General features: G+C 36.1%; 1 protein-coding gene across 4 annotated transcripts in view; it reads left to right on the top strand.

Annotated features, from left to right (window-relative positions):
• ABCA12 (ATP binding cassette subfamily A member 12) overlaps positions 1-26,307 on the top strand; it is a 207,085-nt gene that overhangs the window by 117,043 nt on the left and 63,735 nt on the right. For 3 of the 4 annotated variants that reach the window (NM_173076.3, XM_011510951.3, NM_015657.4), the window contains 12 exons: positions 1,788-2,044; positions 2,136-2,248; positions 3,452-3,576; positions 5,921-6,094; positions 9,449-9,613; positions 9,935-10,145; positions 11,114-11,253; positions 13,738-13,857; positions 17,285-17,375; positions 19,847-20,026; positions 20,564-20,879; positions 23,775-23,889. In NM_173076.3, the coding sequence (NP_775099.2) occupies positions 1,788-2,044; positions 2,136-2,248; positions 3,452-3,576; positions 5,921-6,094; positions 9,449-9,613; positions 9,935-10,145; positions 11,114-11,253; positions 13,738-13,857; positions 17,285-17,375; positions 19,847-20,026; positions 20,564-20,879; positions 23,775-23,889 (2,007 nt within the window). Of the gene's footprint in view, positions 1-1,787; positions 2,045-2,135; positions 2,249-3,451; positions 3,577-5,920; positions 6,095-9,448; positions 9,614-9,934; positions 10,146-11,113; positions 11,254-13,737; positions 13,858-17,284; positions 17,376-19,846; positions 20,027-20,563; positions 20,880-21,740; positions 21,797-23,774; positions 23,890-26,307 lie in introns of all 4 variants that reach the window. The other variant, NR_103740.2, reaches the window with a different exon arrangement.

The following is a 26,307-nucleotide window of genomic DNA, read 5'->3' as shown; positions in this document are numbered from 1 at the left end:
TCTTAAAAGAAACAGCTCTAGGGTAGCTTCCAAGCACAATAGAATTTTCTTTCCCAGGGGCACATATTATTTTTTCCCCAGGATGTAGGGCATGGAATATATCCTCAGAACACATAGAACACAGTGAACTGATAGTGAGAGGAATATCATTGACAGGATAGGAAATTATTTGATTTTCATTTTCCTCTTTTTCCTCCGGGTGTGGGATTTTTAAACCCCTTTAAGCACTTTTTAAAGCACTTTGAAAGACAAAAACACCGAGTATCCTGTAATACCTAAGAGAGAAAATAACGTCAATAACGGTGCAGACACTTCCAAAAAATCAGGCGTCTTCTCGTCCATAGTTTAAATACAGTCTTATTAGAATGAATGTGATCTTCATGCTGCAGTTCAAGAAAGGCTTTTAAAATTTTTTGTTAACCTTTAAAAATTGTCGACTGGCCACAGTGGCTCACATCTGTAATTCCAACACTCAGAGAGGCTGAGGCCGGCAGATGGCTTCAGCCCAAGAGTGAGACCAGCCAGGGCAACAAGGTGAAACCCTGTTTCTACAAAAAATACAAAACATTAGCCAGGAATGCAGGTATATGCCTGTAGTCCCAGCTACTTACTCGAGAGGCTAAGGTGAGAGGATCACCTGAGCCTGGAGGTCGAGGTTGCAGTGAGCTGTGATCGTGCCAATGTACTCCATTGTTTCCACAAGAAATACAAAAAATTAGCCAGGAGTGCAGGTATATGCCTGTAGTCCTAGCTACTTACTCAAGAGGGTAAGGTGGGAGGATCACCTGAGCCTGGAGGCCGAGGTTGCAGTGAGCTGTGATCGTGCCAATGTACTCCAGCCTGCGTGACAGAGTGAGACCCTGTCTCAAAAAATAAAAATAAAAATAAGAATTGTGGTAAAATAAACATAACATTTACTATCTTAACCATTTTTAACTATATAGTGCAGTTGTGTTGAGTACATTCACATTGTTGTACAACTAATCTCCAGAACTCATTTCATCTTGTAAAACTGAAACTCCATATTCATTAAACAACTCCTCATCTTCTACTTCCCCAGCCCCTAACAACCCACATTTTGCTTCTGTCGCTATGAATTTGACAACTCTAGGTACCTCATCATATAAGTGGAATCATATAGTATTAGACCATTCACCTTTCATTTTCGAGACTGGCTTATTTCACTTAGCATAGTATCCTCAAGGTTCATTCATGTTATGGCCTGTGTCAGAATTTCTTTCCTTTTTAAGGTTTAATAATATACCACTCTGTGTGTGTGTGTGTGTGTGTGCATACATTCCCACCAACAGTGCACAAGGGTTATAATTTCTCCACATCTTCTCCAACACTTGTTATTTTGTTTTTTTTTTTAAATAGTAGTCATCTTAATGGGTGTGAGAAAGAAATACTTTTTAAACGTTCTAAAACAAACTTGCTTTTTATCTGCCCTTACATATGATTTAAAATATAAATCAAAATATAAAATTAGTCAAAGTATTTGTGAGTTAAGCTGGATAAAACTAAACTCCATTTTTTAAACCTGTGACTCCACAGAGAAAGACAGGTCTAATAGGCCCAAAAGTTTTACCAGGTTCTTACGAGAACAATAAACTCAAATGACAGACGGTAGTACTTCATAATAAAACTAACGCCAAATGCCAACTAACCACATACATAGGCAGAATGTTTTTCTTAAAGGAAATCAATTGTGGTTGCTTATTATCAACTACTATATATGTAGAAAAATGTAACTAATCTATTTCCCACTCTTTTCCCTTTTTGGAAAGCTGTCTCAACTTCGAAACTTGACCGAACTTCTTTGTGAATCTGAAACTTTCAGTTTGATAGAGAAGTCATGCCAGCTCTCTGATATGAGCTTTGGGAGCCTGTGTGAAGAAAGTGAGTTTGATCTGCAACTCCTCGAAGCGGCAGAGCTGGGCACCGAAATAGCAGCCAGCTTACTGTACCATGACAATGTCATATCTAAAAAAGTGAGAGATTTGCTGACTGGAGATCCAAGCAAAATTAATTTAAATATGGATCAGTAAGTTTTTCCATTGTCTTCTTCCTTGGTGAAATCTCTTTCAAAATATTGAAATACTTAGTTGAATTTCTTCTTTTCTGTTTTGTTCCAGGTTTCTAGAACAGGCACTGCAAATGAATTACTTGGAAAATATCACTCAGTTAATACCGATCATAGAAGCCATGCTGCATGTCAATAACAGTGCAGATGCTTCTGAAAAGCCAGGTGTTTCCCCATCCACATTTTAAATCTTGTCTTATTAGAATGCATGTGATTCTCACGCTGCAGTTTAAGAAAGCTTTTTTGAAGTTCCCAACCAAACTCGCTTTGCTATCTGCCCTTACACATGAGAAACCTGAAGCATTCAAATATGGTTACTTGTCTAAAGTAAACACACAGAAAGCTAGCAGAGAATGAAACAGGGAAATCTGATTTCACAGCAAAAAGATCTTCAAAAGTTTAACTAGTTAGACCATTCACCTTTCGTTTCTCTGATATATTAAAGTTCATCCCATAGTCAGCTGCAAGGGCAACAATGAAATTTACTTGCTTCTGTGAAAATAACCTGATGGAAAAAAACCAAAAGGATGCACTGTTGTCTACAGAAATCTCAATTCAGAACTTTCTATTAGTATTCCAAGCATGAGGTATCATGCAATACGTTTCTTCTTTGCATAATTCCTCAATACTGAAAGGAAAGGCATTCAGAATTTTGGACAACGGGCAGCCACAAAATTGGAATGGCACTAGATTGAAAAATAAAAAAAAGATATATTTGCATGAAGGATACTTAGATGGAAAGGCATTTGCAGGATGATTATTACAATCTGCTAAAATCTAAATATTGTTTATTGTGCCATAAATGACCCAGAAATAAAAGAATTATAATCACCGTCCTAAAAGAGTTTGAAGTTAAACACGTTCTATTTAAAAGTGAGATAATGATTGTAAAAACCCTTTATAACTGTAGTGTGACTGTAGTTAAAGAAAAATGCTCTGTGGCATTATGTGTGGATTTATCAAACTTTGTCCTAAATTGACAATATTACATGATCCCAGATTAAAAAAACATATTGAATCTGTGTGATATTTTAAATCAAATGGAGAGATATTTATTTAGTGCATTATGTGATCAAAATCTGTGAGGAAAGCATATTTTCCTTAAATAAACCTTGACTTGTAGATACCTAAGGAAAATTTATAACTCAGAGCAATCTGTTACCTCGGGTTTATGATATAATAATAAGAACAAATCTAAATCAGATAGAAATAGATCCTAAATATGCAACGTTTGCCAAAACTGGGAGACATCTGCCCCTGAGAAGGCACGTATGTCTTAGTCTAGAAGGTTTCTCTATGTTAGTCATACTAAAAAGAGTGACCTGACAAACCAACATGGGTTTTCTTTTTACATTTTTCTTCTTGCAGGTCAGTTACTAGAAATGTTTAAAAATGTTGAAGAGCTGAAAGAAGATTTAAGGAGAACAACAGGAATGTCCAACAGGACTATTGACAAGTTGCTGGCCATTCCCATCCCTGATAATAGAGCTGAGGTGGGGTGTCATGTGTTTGTACTTACATGCAGTTCTTAGAAATTTAAATAGCATTTAGCATTTGTTGAGCGCTTACCAGTTAAACACTGAGAAGTTGCATGCTAATCTGGTGAATTTTCTATGCAAGTGATAAACCTGGAGGCCTCATTAAAGATAGAAGAAAAATTCTGAAGCAAGAATTTTATCACTATGTGTCCCTTTTCTCTTTATTTTTCCTTGTCCTTTCCCATGCCCCATTTGTTCTTTCCTTTTCCTTACCCCCAGATGGCTTCCTCAATCAATGAGCTTGCAGTGAGCTGAGATCGCACCACTGCACTCCAGCCTGGGCGACAGAGCGAGACTCCGTCTCAAAAAAAAAAAAAAAAAAGAATTATATTCACTGTCGCAATTACATTGTATGAGGTGAATTTGTACCTACTCAAATGCTATCAAAGTCAAACTTCAGTAACCTAATTGGGGGAAAATGTATGGAGACTACTTACTATTGCTTGCAACTAAAATTAAAATGGATATCCATTTTTACTTTTTAAAAGTCGTACAGCAAGACATAGCATATACAATAGATGTGGTCAAGGGAACTAAGGGTAAGTTTGTGGTTGTAGTAAATATTTTTTGATGTGAAAATGAATAATGTCATTTCTTCATATGCTGGTAATAGGGTTTTCCACTCAAAATGTCTTATCTTTTATTCTTTTTCCAAGTCCATTGTCTGGAAGTGTCATGGAAATTTTCCAAAAGAGCTGCAGAGCTTAAGGCCTCATCCATTCAAACCTTATGTGTGACAGAGTGTGTCATTTCTAAGCACAGCCCAGTTATTTTCCAATATTGGATAGTTTCTAAAAAGCCTTTAAGGTTCCCCTTAAAAAATATTGCAGCTATCTCTTGTCATTTTAATTGGTTCCCCCATACAAAAATTAAAACAGCTTTGCCTTTACTGTACTAGTAAATAATATTCATTGATCTTTTCTCTTTAATCTCACCTTTTGATTATTTGATCCTAAGATATAATTTCAGCAATCAAGTTTTTGGCTTCTATAGAGCAGGTTCATTTTAGTAAATAAAACGTGTAAATGGAGAGTCTACATTCTTATTACTTTCAAGAGGAAAGAGTGAAAAGTTCCTGTGGCCTTGAATGTTATACGCTTTTCTCTTTATTTCAACTCGGTGGCAATAAAGATGACATCTTATTTTGCGTAATCATACCTCACTATCTACAGGAGCATTACTGTTCAAGATGGGTAATTCACATGATTGTAGGATCTGAAACTCTTTTTCTTTGCTTTACATCTCTGGACCCACAGAGTATATTGCCTAAGATTTTAATTTTGAATGATTACAAAAATTAAATGCAATTTGAATTTATTAAGAGTGAGATTTTAAAGGGAGCAAAGTCTTTTTTTTTTTTTTTTTTTTTTTTTTTTTTTTGAGACAGAGTCATGGTCTGTTGCCCAGGCTGGAGTGCAGTGGTACAATCTCCGCTCACTGCAAGCTCCGCCTCCCGGGTTCTCACCATTCTCCTGCCTCAGCCTCCCGAGTAGCTGGGACTACAGGCACCCGCCACCACGCCCGGCTAATTTTTTGTATTTTTAGTAGAGACGGGGTTTCACCGTGTTAGCCAGGATGGTCTTGATTTCCTGACCTCGTGATCCGCCTGCCTCGGCCTCCCAAAGTGCTGGGATTAGAGGCGTGAGCCACCGCGCCCAGCCAGGGAGCAAAGTCTTAAACTAACGTTTTCCCCAAACTTACTCCAAACCACTTGTCTTTCTTGGTATCATCATTCACCCAGCTGTTCAGGCAAGAAATCCAGGGGCCATCCTGAATGTCTCCTTGTCTCTTTTTTCCCCATCTTTTTTCTTTTATTTTTGAGACAGAGTCTCACCCTGTCTCCCAGGCTGGAGTGCAATGGCGCAATCTCAGCTCACTGCAACCTCCACCTCCAGGGTTCACGTCATTCTCCTGCCTCCGCCTCCCGAGTAGCTGGTATTACAGGCGCCCGCCACCACGCCCGGCTAATTTATTGTATCTTTAGTAGAGACGGGGTTTCACCATGTTGGCCAGGCTGGTCTCGAACTCCTGACCTCGTGATCCACCCGCCTCAGCCTCCCAAAGTGCTGGGATTACAGGCGTGAGCCACCGCGCCCGGCCTCCCATCTTATTTCTTAAGTGAACTATTAATTCTCTATTGTCTTATTAATAGTAATTAGTGCTTTAGATGAAAAGTTGTTTGATTCTTGAGGACCTTTTGTTTTAGTTTAAAATTTAGAGTATACAGAAAACCTCACAAAATGAACAGTTGACTCTCGAATGATTCACAGTTGAAATATTTTTCTTCCTCCATTTGCAGATTATTTCTCAGGTGTTCTGGCTGCATTCCTGTGATACTAATATCACCACTCCCAAACTAGAAGATGCAATGAAAGAATTCTGCAACCTGTCTCTTTCAGAGAGATCCCGGCAGTCTTACCTCATCGGACTCACCCTTCTGCACTACTTAAACATTTACAACTTCACATACAAGGCAAGTTGCTGTTGGTTAAATATGTTTATATTCATGGTTTATATAAAACTATTTAATTATACATTTATGTTCTCTGATACTATGAGGGATGAGATCCATTTATTCGGCTTTTGGAATTATTGCATTATGTTAAAGCTAAATGCAACCTTAGAGATCATTTATTGCAATTTTGCACGTTTTATAGATGTGGAAACTGATATTATTCCTTACTAACTCTCGGTTTGTGTATCAGAGACCAATTATTAAATTTAATATGTACTGTTACTGTGAAATACAAATGTTGTATTTCAAAAGTGTTAAATGCAAATGTTGCAATTATTATTTTTTTAACAGTGAACAGACATGAAGTTGGTAGGGTTAAAAAAGATTAGAAAAAAGGGGTTTCTTAATTAAAAATAGGCTTTTTTTGGCGTTCTTTAAAAAAAAATTTCCTGTTTCCTTCATCAATTTAGATAGAGGCTACCATTACATACCCAGAAGGAAAAACAAATGGTTGTTATTAGAGCTTAGTAAAGTCAGCATTGACTTCATCTTGCAATATGCAGATGCTCTATGAGTACTTATTTACTAAATAACCGAAAGAAAAATATAAACATAGGAAAATTAAGCACCTATGTTCACCCAAATTTCACTTGGGTCAAAAATATTTACATGTTCTTAAAAACACTGAAGAATTATCCTTCTCTGTAGTAAACACAACCAAAAGGAAATAGCTGACATATTTTTGAGACATAGCCACAGGGATAAAAATGTTTTGGACTAGTTATAAATAATTCTGCTCTGAGTTACTGTCATCTCATGCCTATATTTCTGCAGTGGTCTCCTAACCATATCCCTTGCTTCCACACCTACCCTCTACCCCTCTCCCTAGCACCTTGCAAGCAGCCTGACTGATCCTTTTAAAACTTAAAGTCTCATTATATCACCCTTCTGCTCAAAACTTTCCAGTGGATCTCCATTTGATTCAAGTAAACCCCCAAATTTTACAAGGGCCTTATGATCTGCACAATGATTCCTCATCACTAAAATCTCATTTCTTACTTGGCTACTTTCTGGACCCTGGCTCCAGAGTTGCTGTGTGGCACAACTCCAGAGACAACCCTTCACATGATTTGCAAGGCTATTTTTTTTTTTGACTTTGCTTAACATTGACCTTTTCAGTAAGGTCTACCCTGACCACCCTATTTAAAATGCAACCAATGCTACCTACAGCACTCTCAAATCCCCTTTTCCTATTCTGGCTTCTGTTTTGCTTCCAGCCAACTATATATTTTATTAAATTTTCATTTTTAAACCTTTTTTTTTTTTTGAGTCAGAGTCTTTCTCTGCCACCCAGACTGGAGCGCAGTTGTGCCATCTCGGCTCACTGCAGCCTCCACCTCCTGGTTTCAGGCAATTCTTGTGCTTCAGCCTCCTGAGTAGCTGGGATTACAAATGTGTGCTACCACACCCGGCTAATTTTTGTATTTTTAATAGGGATGGGGTTGTATCATGTTGGCCAGGCTGGTCTTGAACTCCTGACCTCAAGTGATCCTCACACCTTGGCCTCCCAAAGTGCTGGGATTACAGGAGTGAGCCATCGTGCTTCGCCCATTTTTAAAATGTATTTGCCGTTTGCACCACTAGTATGTTAGTTCCACAAGGGCCTCTTTGTTCACTGAAATATTTTAAATGCAAAGAACAGTGTCTGGCCCATAGGGAAATGAAGCAAATACCCATTAACTCAGCCAATGGTTATTTTACATAAACTATAACCTACAATGCATATGACATGAAATTACTATTATTACTTTGCCTAAAATTTTAACTCTAATTTTATAATGCCTCTACAGAGCAGATATCAAACTAAATATTTGCTGTTGAGTCTAGCCGTTAAACGTCGGCATGCCAATTTATTTCACGTTAATGTGGGAATGCCTAGAATTCTGGCAGAACTGCAATAGAAAATAGAAAAAAATGTTGGTTCTGATTTTCAAAATATGATTGGAATCAGGAGCTCTGCTATTGAGGTAACCATATCTTCATGACTGAGAGATGGGCGGTGTGGGAGATATGAACACAAAGCTACCTCTCTAACTGAATCTTGTGCTCAAAATCTTGGTCTTTGACTTCCTTAGAAATATCACAGGTTTTCTCTCAGGGACCTCAAACAGCTTTGCCCCTCTGCCTATGCCCTTCCTCTTCTTGTTCTTCCAATGGTATGTTCTTTCTCATTCTTTGAGATTTTGCTTTGAAAAGGTCTCCTTTGATTTCGTAGCTAAACACTCCCTACCTTCTCATATGCCCCAGCCTTTGGTTCATTGGCTTGTTTGATATCTGTTCCTCCTAATAGATCAAAGTTCTGTGAGTACCGAGATGGTGCCAGCTTCAGCACCACTGCATAGCCATCACCTCACCCAGTGCTGGGAACACAGCAGGCACTCAATTCATGTTCCTGAATAAATGAAATAAGAGGATAAAAAAATTACATTAAAATTTTAAAACATTTTCAATGTTTCTTCTTGTAGCACATAAGCATTATGGGATTAAAATGACTTAGCCTGATAAATCATGTAAGCCTTTTGACAGTTTTATTTTAATTTTTAGGTGCATATTATATCATTTTTGAGCAATAGTATACATGAAGAAATATGTAGTTGACATTTGCCTTTATGACTTATAAAATCATCTATTTTTGCAACTTTATTGAGGTATTATTTATATACCATAAAAATCACTCATTTTTCGTGATTAACTCAATGATTTTTTTAGTAAATATACAGAATTGTGCAACTATTACCACAATCTAATTTTAGGACATTTCCATTACTTCGGAAGGAAACCTCATGTCTATTTGCAGTTACGTCTCATTTCAATCTCTAGCCCAAGCAACTTCTAATCTATTTTCTGTCTCTGTAGATTTGCCTTTTTAAAAAGATATTACATATAAATTGAATCATGAAATATGTGGTCTTTTTGCCTGGCTTCATTCACTTATTCACTTAATATAATTTTTTTTGTTTCATACATATTGTACATGTATCAGTATTTCATTTCCTTTTATTGCCAAATAGTATTCCATTTTAAGAATATATACTTTGTCCACTCACCTGGATTGTTTTCCCTTTTTGGCTATCGTGAATAATGCTGCTATAAACATTCACATACAAATCTTTGTGTGGACATGTTTTCACTTCTCTTAGGTAAACGCCCAGGAATGGAATTGTCAGGTTGAGTGTTAAATTTACATTTAACTATTTAATAAACTTCAAAAATGTTTTCCAAAGTGGCTGTACCTTTCTACAACCTTACCAACAATGCATGAGGATTCAATTTTTCCACATAAAGCATTTATTTTTATTCTGTTTCTGTTAGGTGTTTTTCCCGAGGAAAGATCAAAAGCCAGTAGAAAAGATGATGGAGCTCTTCATAAGACTAAAAGAGATTCTCAATCAGATGGCTTCTGGCACACATCCGCTGCTAGACAAAATGAGATCCCTGAAGCAAATGCATCTGCCCAGAAGTGTTCCATTAACACAGGTAGCAAAGTCACCCAGTAATGTTCTTGTTGAAAAATGCCTTCTGTCATATTGAGTAGTTATAATACATTCAGCTTCAATCGTAGTACATTGAAAAAAAAAAAAACAACACCTACAAGAAAACTCTTCTACCTAGCAACACTTTTTGCCACTTTAATTAGTGAAGTTTATTGTTCTTCATTTACATTTGGAATAAACATATAAAAGGAATTATGGAAACTGTAAGGATACTCTAAGTATTATCAGGTTCTCTTTCTCTGTTGTTTTCAGTAGCTTCTAAAGCTCATATAGTGTCAATAAATTGTGGATTTTTGTCTCACAGGCAATGTACAGAAGCAACCGAATGAACACACCACAAGGATCATTTAGCACCATCTCCCAAGCATTATGTTCTCAAGGAATTACCACTGAATATTTAACTGCCATGCTGCCCTCTTCCCAGAGGCCAAAAGGCAACCACACCAAGGATTTTTTGACTTATAAATTAACTAAAGAGCAAATTGCTTCAAAATATGGAATTCCCATAAATTCCAGTGAGTATACTTTAAAATAAGCATGACAGTTGCCCTTAATGACAATAAGAATACTGTCTATTCTGTCTTAGTTTTTTATGATAAATGAAGTATTAATTTTCCCCAAGAATAAAAATAGAAAATAATTATACAGCACTTACCACATGTCAAGAATGTTATATACATTAACTCATCTTAGTATGGGGAAGTGGAGTACAAGGAGGGTAAGTAACCTGGCCAGTGTCGCTCAACTTGGAAGTGCCTGAGCTGTCATTTGAACCCAGGTACTCTGCTACAAAGACTATCCTCTTAACTACAATACTACACTTAGATTTTGTCAGTCATCACTGAGCCTTCTAGACAATATAAAAACTTGCCTTAAATCTGTTTGGGTTGAAATTTTTTTCCTAACTTTCTAGAATTAGAATTTTTATCACACATGGTAGAGTTGCATGACTGCAGCAGAACCGTAAATGTCTCGTGGCACATCAAAACCATTTACTTGATCTATAAACTTGGAGATGCAAAATGTGATGAGTGAGCTCATTCAAATAATATATGGGTGTTTAGTATAGCAACTGGATTCATTTATTCATCTTTTTATTCATTCACCAAGCATTTATTGAACAGCTCTTATGTATCTGGTACTATCCTAGTGGTTGGTTTTTGTGTATTTTTTTCAAAGGTAAATGCTGGGAAATGAATCTGTTAGCCATTCTGAAATGTGGCTTTCACGTTTTCTATTTCCTCCTGGCAAAATGCCATCACTTACTCTGGGCTTGCTTATTGGGTTAAACTTTCTCACCTAAAAAAGATTGGTTACTGTGCTTTCTTACTTTGACACCAGATGCCTCACATCTGTTAATAATATAGGAAGTACTAGAGCATGTATTTTTGGGTGTGATAAGAATAATCTCTGTCAATTTGCCATGTGGAAATGGATTTGAAGTACATCTATTAAATGGTTTTATTTCACTTTTTCCTTCCAGCACCATTTTGCTTCTCCCTTTATAAAGACATCATTAACATGCCCGCTGGACCTGTGATTTGGGCTTTCTTGAAACCTATGTTGTTGGGAAGAATTTTGTATGCACCATATAACCCAGTCACAAAGGCAATAATGGAAAAGGTTTGACCATTATAACTCAGTTTCTATTTTGACTATTAAGATGTTTTTTAAAGTAGTCAACTTCCAAATTTACTTTAGCTGACTGATTTCTTTCTATCTTACCTACTATTATTATTATCCTTGGCTTTCTGAAACTATTAGTAAAATTCTCAACTTCTGCCCTGGATATGTGCAAGCAGTATAGATTGGGTGGGAGCCCTTTGAAGAGAAATGAACCATGTTAACATTTGAGAATGAGGTTAGTTGAAGCAAGACCTCAGATTTTTCCATTTATCTCAAAAAGCAGAAAAGTCCTCTGCAACTGGTGTCTAACTTTCAAAGTATGTAAAAATTATTGTACTAGAAAAAGTAATATTGAGCATTATATAACTAGTTGGAACAAAAACAATCCCTGAAGTATAGATTCTTGGCTTCATATTTAGTTGTACAATTTAACGTCTCATTTATATAGAAGATAGATGTCGAATAAGACAACATTATTAACTATACTTACCATTTACTTCATTTAACCATAATAGTATTTCCCTCTCACTTTAAAGTTGGCTTTAATTATTTGAATTTATAAACCTAGTACTTTTAAAATGACGGAGCTAAAGTAAAAGAAAAATCTCTGTTTTACCATTACTTGGCCATTCAACTATAATTATATGAACATAACATTATTTTTATATGCTACAGAATAATGGACAGCGATCATTATTATCAAAGAATATTCAATTTAATCTCTGTCCATTTTTATAAAAACTGTGATTTAATACCTTATTTGCTTTACTGACTATATATTCCTATGTAGTTTTGCATAAATTGAGTTATATATGAACTTTGTTTTTCAATTTAAATAAACAATTATTTGTTGATTTTTTTTAACTTTTATTTTAAGTTCAGGGTTACAAGTGCAGGTTTGTTACACAGGTACACTTCTGTCATGGGGGTTTGCTGTACAGATTATTTTATCACCCAGGTATTAAGCCTAGTACCCATTAGTTATTTTTCCTGATCCTTTTCCTCCTCCCACCCTCCACCCTTCTGTTCCCCTCTCTATGTCCATGTGTTCTCATCATTTAACTCCTGCTTATAAGTGAGAGCGTGTGGTTTTTGGTTTTCTATTCCTGTGTTGGTTTGCTAAGGATAATGGCCTCCAGCTCCATCCCTGTCTCTGCAAAGGGCATGCTCTCATTCTTTTTTATGGTTGTGTGGTATCCCATGGTGCACATGTACCACATTTTCTCTATCCAATCTATCATTGTTAGGGATGTAGGTTGATTCAGTGTCTTTGCTGTTGTGAATAGGGTTGTGATGAACATATGCATGCATGCATCTTTATAATAGAATGACCTATATTCCCTTGGATATATACTCAGTAATGGGATTGCTGAGTCGAATGGTATTTCTGTCTTTAGGTCTTTGAGGAATTGCTACACTGTCTTCCACAATGGCTGAACTAATTTACACTCCCACCAACAATGTATAAGTGTTCCTTTTTCTTCACAACCTCAGCAGCATATGAGCTTATGTTTTAAGCGTGGTCTTTTTTTTTCCCCTTTTTGTATTTGGTTCTCACCTCCCCTTTTCCTCTTCTCTTGATCCTATTCTTCCTTTCATATAAACTAATGTATGTTAGCATTCATATATGCATCTTCCTATAATTTATTCTATTACTCCAATCCTTTATAGATTATTATACCACATATATTCATAAGCAGAGTTCTTTGAGGTCACTGCATTAAAATGATACTGCATTTTAATCCTTTTTTATATATAGTTTTTCTCATACAAGAATACATTGTGAAAATTTTTCCAACTCAATAGGTATAATTTAATTCATTCTTTTTAGAGATTGCACATTTTTTTTTATAACACCGAATTTACTCATCCAATCATCAGGTGTTGGGCATTAATTTTGTTTCCAATGTTTTGTGTGTGTGTGTGTGTGTTTTTCTTGCTAATATAAACAATGTAGCAATAAATATTCTTGTGTATCGGTTTTATGTAGCAGTATTTTTATTTCAATAAGATGAATGTTCAGAATTGAGGGGTTGAAGGATATTGCATTTTATTTTAATAGCCATTGTCAAATTGCTTTCCAAAAACCTCTAACATCTATTCTCAGCAGCAATACGTGAGAATATCCTTCTGCTATCCTCGAACTAGGATGTTTCTTTAATAGTAAAGTTAAGTGTGTCGTTGGTGAAAATGAAAAACTGGTAAGAACTCCAGAAGTCAGGCTTTCATTTTGGCTATAAACTCACTCTGGACATGAATCAAACCCTAAATTATCCAGAATTTTTATAAATGAACTTGACCCTATGAAAGCTGTCATTTGAAACTTTTGACCATGTGGGAAATTTCTGACAATTGTTTGTACTAACTTCATGTTTTAGAACTGTCTTTTGAAGTTACGTAACAAAACAATCTTAAGATACCTTGTTAAAATATAGACAAAATACTAATGGATCACACTTCTTTTGTTTCTTTGTCATTAAGTCCAATGTAACTCTGAGACAGCTGGCGGAATTAAGAGAAAAATCTCAAGAGTGGATGGATAAGTCGCCACTTTTCATGAATTCCTTCCATCTGTTAAACCAGGCAATTCCAATGCTCCAGGTATGAGATGCTTCTGTCATTCAACTTAGTAGGAATTTGAATTCTTTGAGATTTTAATTGCCTTCAATATGTGAACGGGAAGGGGGTAACTTTCCGTATTCAACAGATTAAATTGCCTCTCTTCCAGAGAGAAGGTCTGAGACAGGGTAACTGATCTATCACTCATATTCATAATTGGCTAACTTCACCTCTGGTACTGCAGCTCCTCTGTCTGTAATTCAGAGAAGACATCTTACAAGTTGATCTAGAGACATAACTAGTGATGTAAATCAGTTTTTCAAAAGTTTAAAATGCTACAAAAATGCTTGTTATTGATTTCTCTCCTTTAAATTACTCTCCTTTGCTATCTTAACCAGAATTCCTAAAATACCAATAGGCTAGAGAACATTAAACTTGGGGAATTCCATGGTAGAAATTTATGACACATGTGTTAATAAATTCCAAATTCAGTTTGACATGTTATACACAAGGTGTTCTCGTTAACGTATTTATCTGAATTTACGTTTAAGGCCACTTAAGGAAGCAAAAGTTATAATTGGAAAAAGTGCTCTAGGCCAGGTGCGGTAGCTCACGCCTGTAATCCCAGCACTTTGGGAGGCTGAGGAGGGCGGATCACCTGAGGTCGGGAGTTCAAGACCAGCCTGACCAACGCGGAGAAACCCCATCTCTACTAAAAATACAAAATTAGCCAGATGTGGTGGCGGGCGCCTGTAATCCCAATTACTCGGGAGGCTGAGGCAGAAGAATCGCTTGAACCTGGGAGGTGGAGGTTGCAGTGAGCTGAGATTGCGCCACTGCACTCCAGCCTGGAGAACAAGAGCAAAACTCCATCTCAAAAAAAAAAAAAAAAAAAAAAAAAGGCAGGAATTTCTGAAGATGATGCAAATAATGTGGGGAAATGTTCCAATCACAGAGATATTGGCAACTGAAGATGGAGCAGCAGAATTAGCCCAGTAATCAGTTGGAGAAAAGAAAATTGGCAGGAATGGTGACAACCTAGGAGCTTCAAGAGACTGGCTTGCATATCAAAGAGAGGTCCTTGGAAGAGTAATGGAGCCCTAAAATATTTTTGGGAAAATAATGCCCTTTTGTATGATCATGCTTAGGAAGTTAAACTTAGAATGGAGGATATTATATGATATGAGATGGTCAGAAAAATTATACTCCAAAGGTGCTTTTATTCAGTCTTTGTTTTGACTAAGAATTAATGCATAGTTATAATTACAACCCAAATTTTATCATAAATGATTAAATAAATTTCTAAAATAGACATTTAATATATTTAATAACATAAACTTTTCATCAAATGTCTTCCCCACAATTTCCTATTAATTTTTGGTTCTAATTCTAAGCATGCTCATTTTAAGTGGCCTTTTCTAGTGAGTCTCAGAAAACGAAGGCTACTTAGATAGCACTTCATGACAAATATATTTTCCTGAACAACACATTGCCATTTTCTCCTAAGACTTTTTCTCCAGGAGGAGAAAAAAAAGCCACATATGATTTTCTTAAGAAAAGTTTTGTTAGCTAAAGTGGTGAATTAACAGGATGTGTTCTATACATAATAGTTTCAAAGTACTGTAATTTGCTGGAATCTCTGAGATTGTGTTCATAAAGGGATCATCATCTAATGGAAGGATCTTGATTCTGTCCAGAGCAAAATTAATTATTTTCGATTATTGAGGAAATAATATTGTAAATATGCACAGAATTTGAAATTTTAAGCTTTTGGCACAAGAACTGGCTTTGCCACTGTGAACCCTTAGGTGAATGACTTAAAGTACGTGAACTGCAGCTTATGGATCTCTAAAATTAGTATATTGGTAATGACAGACTTGTGAAGATCACATATGTGGAAGCATTTGGTGTTTTGGTATTTTTAAATTTTGTATACATTTATGTGATACAAACGCAATTTTGCTACATGCATGGATTAGTATTGATCAAATCAGGGTTTTTAGCATATCCATCACCCAAATAATATACATTGTACCTATTATTAGATGTCATATGATTGATTGTAAAAGGAGTGATGGGAGAATTGAAATAGGGTTTAATGGATTGTCTCCAGATTGCAACTAACACAGTACTTTATTTGTTAGTGATGCTCTGATACAGATTTTCCAAGATGCAGAAGCTAATTCCTGATAAACCGATCTTAAAGGACTGTTATCACAGCATGTAGCTGCATGATAGCTAGCCATCAGTCTGCATGCCACCAGCTGCTTTTAGAACCCTCAGCAGCTATGGATTTAGCAAACTAATTCTATTATATATGTGCTCGACTAATATGTTTTTCTTAGTCATTCATCCCCATGACAATAAAACAAAAGACACTGGTAAGAAGGACATGAGACTATGTTGTACCAAATGGGGCTCTAAAAGGACAATCAAGCCTCACTTACATAAAAACCAGGCCATGAATTTACACATGTGATGAAAAAACATTTCTTTAATTGAGTTGAATTCTCTCCTTCATTTTTTCCCTTAGCCCTTATTAATTGTGTGTCCTTAGGAGAATTTACATAGCTTCTTTAGCCATAGCTTTGTCATCTATTACTTAGAGGTAATAATAGCCCTTACCTCAAAGTGTTGTTGTAAACAAAGTGAGAAAGTCAAGTTAAACTCTATAAGACGGTGCCCAGCACATGGTATTATAAAAGCTCAACAAATATTAGGTAATAGTACTCCTAGAGTGATAGAAGTTATGTCTTCTAATTTGGCAAATAGCTATAAAGGCCTTTATATTTTAAAGCAATTATGTTTTTCTTTTAATTTTTCAGCCTTTCCATTGATAGAGTTTAAAGTTTTATCATCAATTTATTCTTTCATATTCACATAGTTGCACTTACGACAGTACAAAAATAATATTATAATAATTGAAATGGACTATTCTGATGTGATGAGGCATTCTTACCTACTTCACCAAAAGGTTACCTGAGACTGGAAACGGTACTTGCTAAAAGCTTCAGGCTAGGAAGTAGTAGAACTTGAATACAAATCAGTTGTGATGTCAGATTCCACGGAGACATCATGATTTTTAAGAGTTTTGTTTCAAGTGAACAAAGTTCAACCATGAATCACAACATTGTGTATAGTATACATTAAAAAGGAATAATATAGCCATGAGGAAAAATCCTGTTAAATCGAATATAAATTTCTAATGTTGATAATTGTAGTCACATCTGGCCACTGTGCATGCTGACCAATTTGTATCTATAGACAAGCAACAGCCCAGCCTGTCAAGTCATTACCAACCCCCAATCTTCTCTTTTCTTCTCAAGGATTTCTCTGTGAGCCTTTGCAAGACAGTGCATTGATAATGCCCAGTTGTGGTTACTGCACTTCACTGTGGTGGTTATTAGAGAGACAATGTCAAACATGATTTTTCTTGTATTGAAACTGATTTTTAATTATTATTTGTTAGAATACTCTAAGGAACCCTTTTGTGCAAGTTTTTGTAAAGTTCTCCGTGGGACTCGATGCTGTTGAACTATTGAAACAGATAGATGAACTCGGTGAGTCCAAATTCACAAAGCTTTTATTCATGAGTCATGTCGGACATATAAACAACATTGTTCCATATGATTACATTTTCCCCCCTTTTCTCCTGTACTTAGTTTGTAGCTAGCTACTCAAAGAAAAATGAGACCCTGGATATATCCCCCCTATCTTCTTCCCAGTTAGTTGTACAATTACAAGTAGTCATGATTATTTGGATGCCCAGTGTCTGTAGTTAGTTTCAATAATTATAATGTAGGCCAGGCGTGGTGGCTCACGCCTATAATCCCAGCACTTCGGGAGGCAGACACGGGCAGATCACTTGAAGTCAGGAGTTCGAGACCAGCCTGGCCAACATGGTGAAGCCCTATCTCTACTAAAAATACAAAAACTAGCTGGGCATGGTGGTGCACGCCTGTAATCCCAGCTGCTTGGGAGGCTGAGGCAGGAGAATTGCTTAAACCTGGGGGGTGGAGGTTTCAGTGAGCCAAGATCATGCCACTGCACTTCAGCCTGGGTGACAGGAGTAAAACCCTGTCTCAAAAAAAAAAAAATTATTATTATTATAATAATGTAATATAAATGCAGTTTTTTTCTTCAATCATAGGTAGGTTGTTAGAAGTAAGGGAGCACTTTATTTTAGTGACTTGATGAAATGCAAGTCCTTAAGGACAAGGGAAAATGAAATTATTTATTTCTGGCTACATTTAACATTTTTATCTCCACTGGCCTCAGTATCACTTGACTAACCCAGAATGTAATTAGAAGAGATATAGAGTTAGCAAAAGCAAGAAAAACGCAATGGGGAGACTCAAAAGAAAATACACTGAAATCAGTATTCAAGGTTGGGTCCTCCTCACATGGTCGTTTAAAAGGAAGAGGCTGCAGAAGATCAAAGGAAGCTGTCTAAACTTATGCATTCCCTCTGCCATGTCCCCACCTTCAACCTAAGGGATGCAAGACATCTAATTCAGGCTGTGTCTGATTCACTGTTGCTATGCAACCATGGGTATGAGAAACGGATTGAGAGCATCAGAATTTGGCAGTAGCAGAGCAAACGCCCCTCCCCCTCCCTGGCACTGCTGGGACGTAAATGATTTAGGTTCTAAACCACTGGGGAAGAATTATGCCTATATTTGTATTGTATATGATTGTACACATATTATGATAGTCAACCCAGCTTGATTAAATAAAGGTACTAGTGGATTTACTCTCTAAAAGTATCATTTGGGCAAGGAACTATTTGATTAACACATCAGGGCTAAACTGCAAAGTTCTTAGATAAATTTTGTCATTTCTAACTTCTGAACTAGGAAGTGAGGCTAAGAATTTAAAATAAGATTAAAATGAACGTAGCACTGAGACTCTTATGTTTGTATAATTACACATGTAACTTAGTATTGAAGAGGTTATATAGTTTGAATTCGGGGGACTCTGACCCCTTGAAGTGTTTTTATGATCCTGTCTACCAGAATTTCTAAATAATTCCTTGGTGTTGTGTTGATTTCCAGTGGCCGCTGGAGGCCACTGTTCAACCACAATTTACCCCTCCCCCACCAACATCTACATCAAGTAAAACATTTCACTTTAAATTCTAATGAGAAATGCATTTAAGAAGTTGTCTTCTGTGAGAAATTTAGTCCTATTTTGGACGATGTAAGAGACATGTCTGGGTTCTGTGAAGGAGGGATTTATGATATTCGCAGCCTTCTCAGCATTCATGATGATCAAGTCAGTAAAAATGTAATTGGCCAAATGATTTGTTAACTTGCAATTTCATATTTACCCTTTGTCCCGGTTGATTTCCTCACAAAGAATCATAAAATTGAAGAGAAATTAAGTCCCCTTTATTCCAGAGTAATTACCCAAAATAAAATCCTGATCATTTTGTCAGATTAATACAGATATCAAAAGTATTAATTTTAAGATATACACATAAGATTTTAAGTCAAACAGTATTAGAAACTCACAACTATGTGGCATATATTTTCAGGTATCTTAAGTGTTTCTATATCACAGCTTATGTAATAATACAGTTTATTTATCCTATGCATTCTACATAGACTTTCCTTTGTTTCAGTTTGTGCATTCACATTCCGTGTACAAAGCAGGCATTTCTGTTTAGTTTATTCTAAACTCACATCTCTGGTTTATAGTTTTTGTCCTAACTACATGTAGATAGATTTTTAAAAATTTATTCATCTTAGTTCTTTGTTATTAAATTGTAACAAAATATACTTTTAAGTTATCTTGTATCTTTCTTAGAACCTAGGTTTACTGTATTTGTAACTAGCTTGGCTCCTCAATGAATATTTGCATAACGACCCATTTTCTTTGGTGTAGAATACTAGATATTTTTAGAGTAAATTCTGCAGGCTTTTGTTATTTATAATCTAGTTTAGTATTTACAAAAAATCAGTATTTCATCTAATTACGACCAGAATCAGGACCATAATTTTTTTTTGTCTCTTTTGCTTTGCCTCTTTAGATATTCTAAGACTGAAATTAGAGAACAACATTGACATCATCGATCAGCTTAACACACTATCTTCCCTGACAGTAAATATTTCCTCTTGTGTATTATATGACCGTATTCAGGCAGCAAAAACCATAGATGAAATGGAGAGAGAGGCTAAAAGGCTCTACAAAAGCAACGAACTCTTTGGAAGTAAGTGCTGTTCTATTAGGGTTTGAGCATCTCTTTGTGCTAAAATTGGCCAAATTCTTTCCTCATGTCTTTCATCCAGAACTCAGAAAACTAGTGTGGGGGTCCTTAGGTCCTCTGATGTCCTTAGAAAAGAGAACCTTTCATGTAGGCAACCAACTATAATCTCTAAGTATGTCTAATTTTGTTGGTGTACTTCAAATTAAGATTGAAAAGGATTACATAGTTACAGAGTGAAGTTGAGTCCATCCTCATAATCAGTCATTATTTATCTAAAAGTGTTTTTATATTAATAAGTGGCTTAGAATGGTGCATTTAATCTGTCTACTTAGTTGGTGATTATATTCTTAAACTCCAGCTTTGAATTTCTGAGGTTGACACCTCCAATTAACCATGTTTTCTGTAAATTAAGAACCTGAACCTACTGTCACATTACTAACTCAATTGACTGTTTGGCTGTCCCCTCTGTGTACTCTCCAAACAATGAATAACGTCAACCATAAAATAACCTTTCTGCTGTTGTTGCCATTTTATTTTTAGGTGTTATTTTTAAGCTTCCTTCTAACAGAAGCTGGCACAGAGGCTATGACTCTGGAAATGTCTTTCTTCCTCCTGTCATAAAATATACCATCCGGATGAGTCTCAAGACCGCACAGACCACAAGAAGCCTAAGAACCAAGATTTGGGCTCCAGGGCCACACAATTCTCCATCACACAACCAGATCTATGGCAGGGCTTTTATTTATTTACAGGATAGTATTGAAAGAGCAATCATTGAATTGCAAACTGGAAGGAACTCCCAGGAAATAGCAGTCCAGGTTCAAGCAATTCCTTATCCCTGCTTCATGAAAGACAAGTAAGTGTGTGCACTTCCAGCCTTTTTAATGATCAACAACTTTTCTGAGAACTCACTTCAGTCCATTCATTCAGATGTATTACATGAAAGGAACAACATTCACCAAACTTTTGTAATATGCTTGTTTTGAGAAAGAGTTCACACTATAGGGCATAGCTTCATCATAACTGCTCATCAATACCAAAATGATGGTAAAGTGTTTACCAAATGATCTATAAAAACCCTTAGCTCTCCAAAAATTCTGGCCCTAAAATTGGAATAATTGGACTTCAGACCTGAGTACATTGCTGCATGATTTTGATGTTCCCCACTGTCTACTGGGCTTACCTCCCTCTAGTCAAATGAAAGGGATGAACAAGACGATCTTAAAATCCCTTCCAACTCCCAAATCGGATTTTAAAAAATCTGAGCGCATGATCAATTTTAAGAAAACAAATTGATAAAAGAAACCTTGAACACATTTTGATCAACTATTTCAGATAAATATTGTGCTACCTGAAACTTTCATGTATTATCAGTTCATTTGCTAGGAATCCTCTATATCTAAAATGGTTTTTCTAGATGAATAAAAAAGTAACAATAATGCTTTTAGACAATTCAATTTGAATGTTCGAGAAATCTGCCAGTTGGGTAGCACTGAATGCTTCCTTCACTCTGTAGATGGTTAAAAAATAAGCAGATTATGGTTTTCAAGCTCACCTTCCTATATAAAAGCTTGAGGCTGAATATTACTTTAAAGGAATTGAACATGCTACGCAACCCAGTTATTGCAGTTTATATACAATTCAGATGGTATTGGATTTTTCTTTTCTCTTCTTTTTTCTTTCTTTCAATGCTTCTGTCTCCCTTGGCTACTTCAAGAGTTATAAATGAGATGAGGTAATGTAACCCAGTGCAACAGTAGCATGAGGAAGCAGGTAAGGAGTCCATCAAGTGGACTGTCAAGGTTAGCTGGCTATTGTGGAGGCTGTTGTGGACGGGACTGTGCTGCCCGAACTATGTGTGAACTGCAATGGTTTGCACAAATTATAAAGATCTATGGGGTCAATGAAGTTATAATTCTTATCTAGTTCCCTGCTCATTTGTTCCCCTTATAAATTTTGGTACCTAGGATGGTGGGTACCTGGGTGTGCAGTCTGTATTCTTTATGGGAATATGTTCATTATGCCTTACACACATATACACTGTTGCATATAAAGTGATTTCCCATTAATTATTTCATTTGTTTCACCCAACAACCTCATAATGTAAGTAGGAGCAGGAATTATTGTCCATACTTTCCAGATGAAAAAACTGAAATCCAGAAAGGCTAATTAACTTGCCCAAGATAATATAACTGGTACTACACTAGTCCTCCTGTTTATAAGACCAACATTTCTGCTTTATACTAGACCAAATCTAAAATACACTATCACTTGGAAGAAACATTACAGGGGATTTGTTGTTAATGAATGAAGGCCTTTGCCTAGTTCTAGATCCAGAAATCACTTCAAGGCTGTACCTGAACCAAAACAAAATTCATTCAAGAAGTAGTCTGTAAATGCCTACCCCATGCCATACAGTTTCCCAGGAAACAACAACAAAAAAAATGGAATATGGCCTCAACTCCCACTGCTCCCTCACCAAAAAAACACCTCATCTCTCTGATAATGACACACTTCTGCATGCTAAAGTGATACTGAATGATAGTGATCTCATGCTTCATTAATATTTACATTTTTCTTGGGGTACTTGGAGGTAATTTTTTAGTCTTGTAGATTAAAAAAGGAAATGGCCTTGGGACCTTTCTCCAAGTGAAAGCTTGAGTGGAGCCCAACACATAAACAGAGCAACTTAGAATCTCTCATCGACATCTACTGCTTTTGCCTCAGCTCAAATAAGGGCATCAATTGTCAGAACCATGGCTCCTAAGGTGTGGTCTCTGGACCAGCAGCATCAGTATCACCTGGGAAGTTGTTTAAAAAGCAAATAGATGGTCCCACCCAGATATAATAAATCAGAGGCTGGGGCCCAGAAACTTGTGTTTTAGTAATCTCTTTGGGTGCTTTGAGAACCACTCCAATTTAACTTTCAGGTTTCATGAGCAGGACATTGAGGAATACATCTGGGCTTGAGGATGTCTTCCAGTGATTCTCTAGTTGAGCACATCATCAAAATAGACATTTCTATACCATGTATAAAGCATCTTCCAGAGCATTACTTTGAGGAATCCAAGTTCTTTGTCTGCATTTTAAATCAAATGCTTTGGGCCAGGCACAGTGACTCATGCCTGTAATCCCAGCACTTTGGGAGGCCGAGGCAGGTGGATCACTTGAGGCCAGGAATTCGAGACCAGCCTGGCCAGCATGGTGAAACCCCATCTCTACTAAAAAACAAACAAACAAACAAAAACAAATGAATGCTTTAGATTTTATTTCATTTTTAGAAATTTAGTTTCATAATAACTATGATCTTCCTAAGAGTAGCTATAAATACAGTAATTTTGGAAGATATAGCTTTTAGTTAGGTAAACCAATCATCGTCTCATTTTAAATCTGCCTTTTAGATAAGAATTTAGTTTAGACATAAAGGTTTTGAGCCTTGCAATTATATCTATATAGTAATTATTTTCCCAGACACATACTCAAACACAATTTAAACAATATGGCAATTTTATGTAATAATCCAGAGCTTTTTTTTTTCTTACTCTTGAAACATTACACTAAAAAAATCACAGACCTATGGTTAAATCAGCTTCATGCTTCGTAAATAATGGGGTAATACCGATTATTTTCAATTTCAAAACACGATCATAAGTTCAATGTAAGAGAGAGTGAGTTCTTTATATATTATAATCTCTGCAAGTATGGTGTTCATTTTGGTCGCTGAATTTTTCTTTTTTTGTTTGTTTTACAGCTTCCTAACCAGTGTCTCTTATTCTCTTCCAATTGTGCTTATGGTTGCCTGGGTTGTATTTATAGCTGCCTTTGTAAAAAAGCTTGTCTATGAGAAAGACCTCCGGCTTCATGAGGTATGTTGAAAATCACTTCTTGTTATGAATAAGTCCTGTTCATAGAACAATTACTATGATTTTCATCATGCCTTTATAAACTTCAGAAAGCCTAACTTATCCCTTGTGAATTAAACAGAAAGAAAAACCTTTTACAAATCACAAAAGCAGCTGATAAGGCAATATTTTATTTTCTCAAAAAGTGACATAAAAGTCACTTAATAAGTGCTTTTGAAAAACAACATCTGAATAAAATATGAGTACAATGATAATTCCTGGAGTAATTTTTTGCCCAAGAAATTACCTATAGGACTTAGGATCTAACAGAGGAAGTTTAAATAACAACAATAACAACTGTTCAGGCAGAGAGATTGTTGGCATGGTAACTAAAATAACCCAAATGTAGATATAGATAGAGCTATAAACATAGACATAGACATATGGCATATTTCGGCTCTCACAAAGAAAATTCTCTTTCCAGTATACCTTGTCTCCTTCAATTACCTTCTCCATTTCCCACTGACTCCTGACTTATAGAAACTAAGAATTTCATGTTATGCTACTGATTGGGTTAGTAACCATATCACAATGGAAGACAGAACCAGGAGTGTGATGCATGACCTCTTTCTGGGCACGTTCTTCATCATTAACCCCAAATCCAAAATATCTTACTTCTTTTTAGAATTTATGATAAAGCATTATGTGATTTTTAGATTGTATTTGAGTAGAAATTATTTTATCTACTTATCCCATAATGAGTCCCTTCTTATACTCACTCATGGAGTGGAAACAAAGGTGAAACATTTCAAAACTGGGGCACAATAATTATTGCAAGGCCTGGCTGAATTCTGAAATAATGAGGTTAGAGGAACCCGTCCATCCACTTGTCCTTTTCAGACTTACCTTGCCAATGCTTTTAGACAATTGATCATTTCTCCCTATAAGATACAAGTTGCTGCTACATATTTCTGTTAGTTCAGCATCAGGCTTTCAGGGTTGTCCCCGTATTTGAACTTATATTTTTTACCTCTTCTGTTTGAATTTTGGTTGATCCACACAGCTGCATTTTTATATTTCAGTTATAATTTGGTAAACTTCTCATCAACTAGTTTGAGTCCTGTTGTTTTCAGGACTGTATGCAATGGTTTTCTAATTCCAATTTAGAAACTTGAATCCATGCCTTCAACCGTAATTATGATTGCAAGCCCCTCCCTTCTAGTTATCTTTCAGGTTCCCAGTATTCAGAAGCAAATCATCACAGAGTAAAGAAAATCTTTGAGATAGAAACTGTGACAGAAACAGAGTCCATTTCTACTTCAAAATTAATACCTACCTTTAAAATATTACTTGTGATAGAAACAGTAAATAGAAGCATGTATGCATACAGTATATATACAAATGTATATGCATATAATAAAACTGTGTGTATATAATACACACACATTGTATTATTTCATGTTTGAAGATGATGCTCTCTGAATGCATCTATGTATGTCACCAAAAATTATCAAAGCATAACGAAAAGTCATTTCTCAACTGAAAATGCAAAAGACTTGTTTTTAGCTATGAACCAGTTTCTGTTTGGTAGCTCTGTGTCTCCATTTGGCCTGCGTCTACCTTTGAAATTTAACCACCTTTGTCTTGGGGTCAAAGTCACATGGTGGAAGATCACTGAACTTGTAATCAGAATATCAGGTTTTGTATTCCAATTCTACCAGCCATATACACTCGGGCTCAGTCTCTTAAACCCTTTGAGTCTGATCATCTAGACTTCATTCAACATTTATTTCCAGAATGTAGCTCTCTCTCTCTCTGCCAGAACAGAGGAGCTCAATTATTCATATTTTATCAATTCTAAGACATTGATTTTCCCCCCTTTTTAAAGCCTTGGAAATTGGGATACATTTGATAGGGTGTCACGATTTATTTGGCAGTAATCTTTCTTTCTTGGTGGCATGTAAAATAGTGGCACATCCTCAATGTGTTCTAAATTCAAAGAAATACAGTGTGTTTATGAAATGAATTGATGGAGGTGAGCGTGGAAGGAGTGGGATGTCCCTAGTGCCTCCTGCTCAGCCTCGCTCCACTGCCCACAGTTCTCATCTAAACTCCTCCTTTTTAAAGATGTAAGGTTCAGCTCAGAAAGTGAGAAGTGACTTGCTGAAGACCTTGGAGCTAGTTAATGGTAGATCTGGCAGTAGAACGGAAGTATTTTGACTTCCAACCAATCCTCTTCCAGATCATAGCTACCTTTACCCTTAGAATCTTACTTTAGTAACACAGACTTCTAAGGACATTTGCAGATGATGATAGATAATCTCTTAAGTTACCAGAAACTCAAAGTCACTTTTTAATACTATCTTTTCATATTCTGATAAAGTCTAAAGCTGCCCAAGTCCTACTTCTTTCTCATTCAAATTAAACCAAAAAGGTAAGTAA

The sequence above is a fragment of the Homo sapiens genome, chromosome 2 (assembly GCF_000001405.40).
Source record: "Homo sapiens chromosome 2, GRCh38.p14 Primary Assembly".
Taxonomy (NCBI): Eukaryota; Metazoa; Chordata; class Mammalia; order Primates; family Hominidae; genus Homo; species Homo sapiens.
This window is presented reverse-complemented; position numbering and strand designations above follow the sequence as displayed.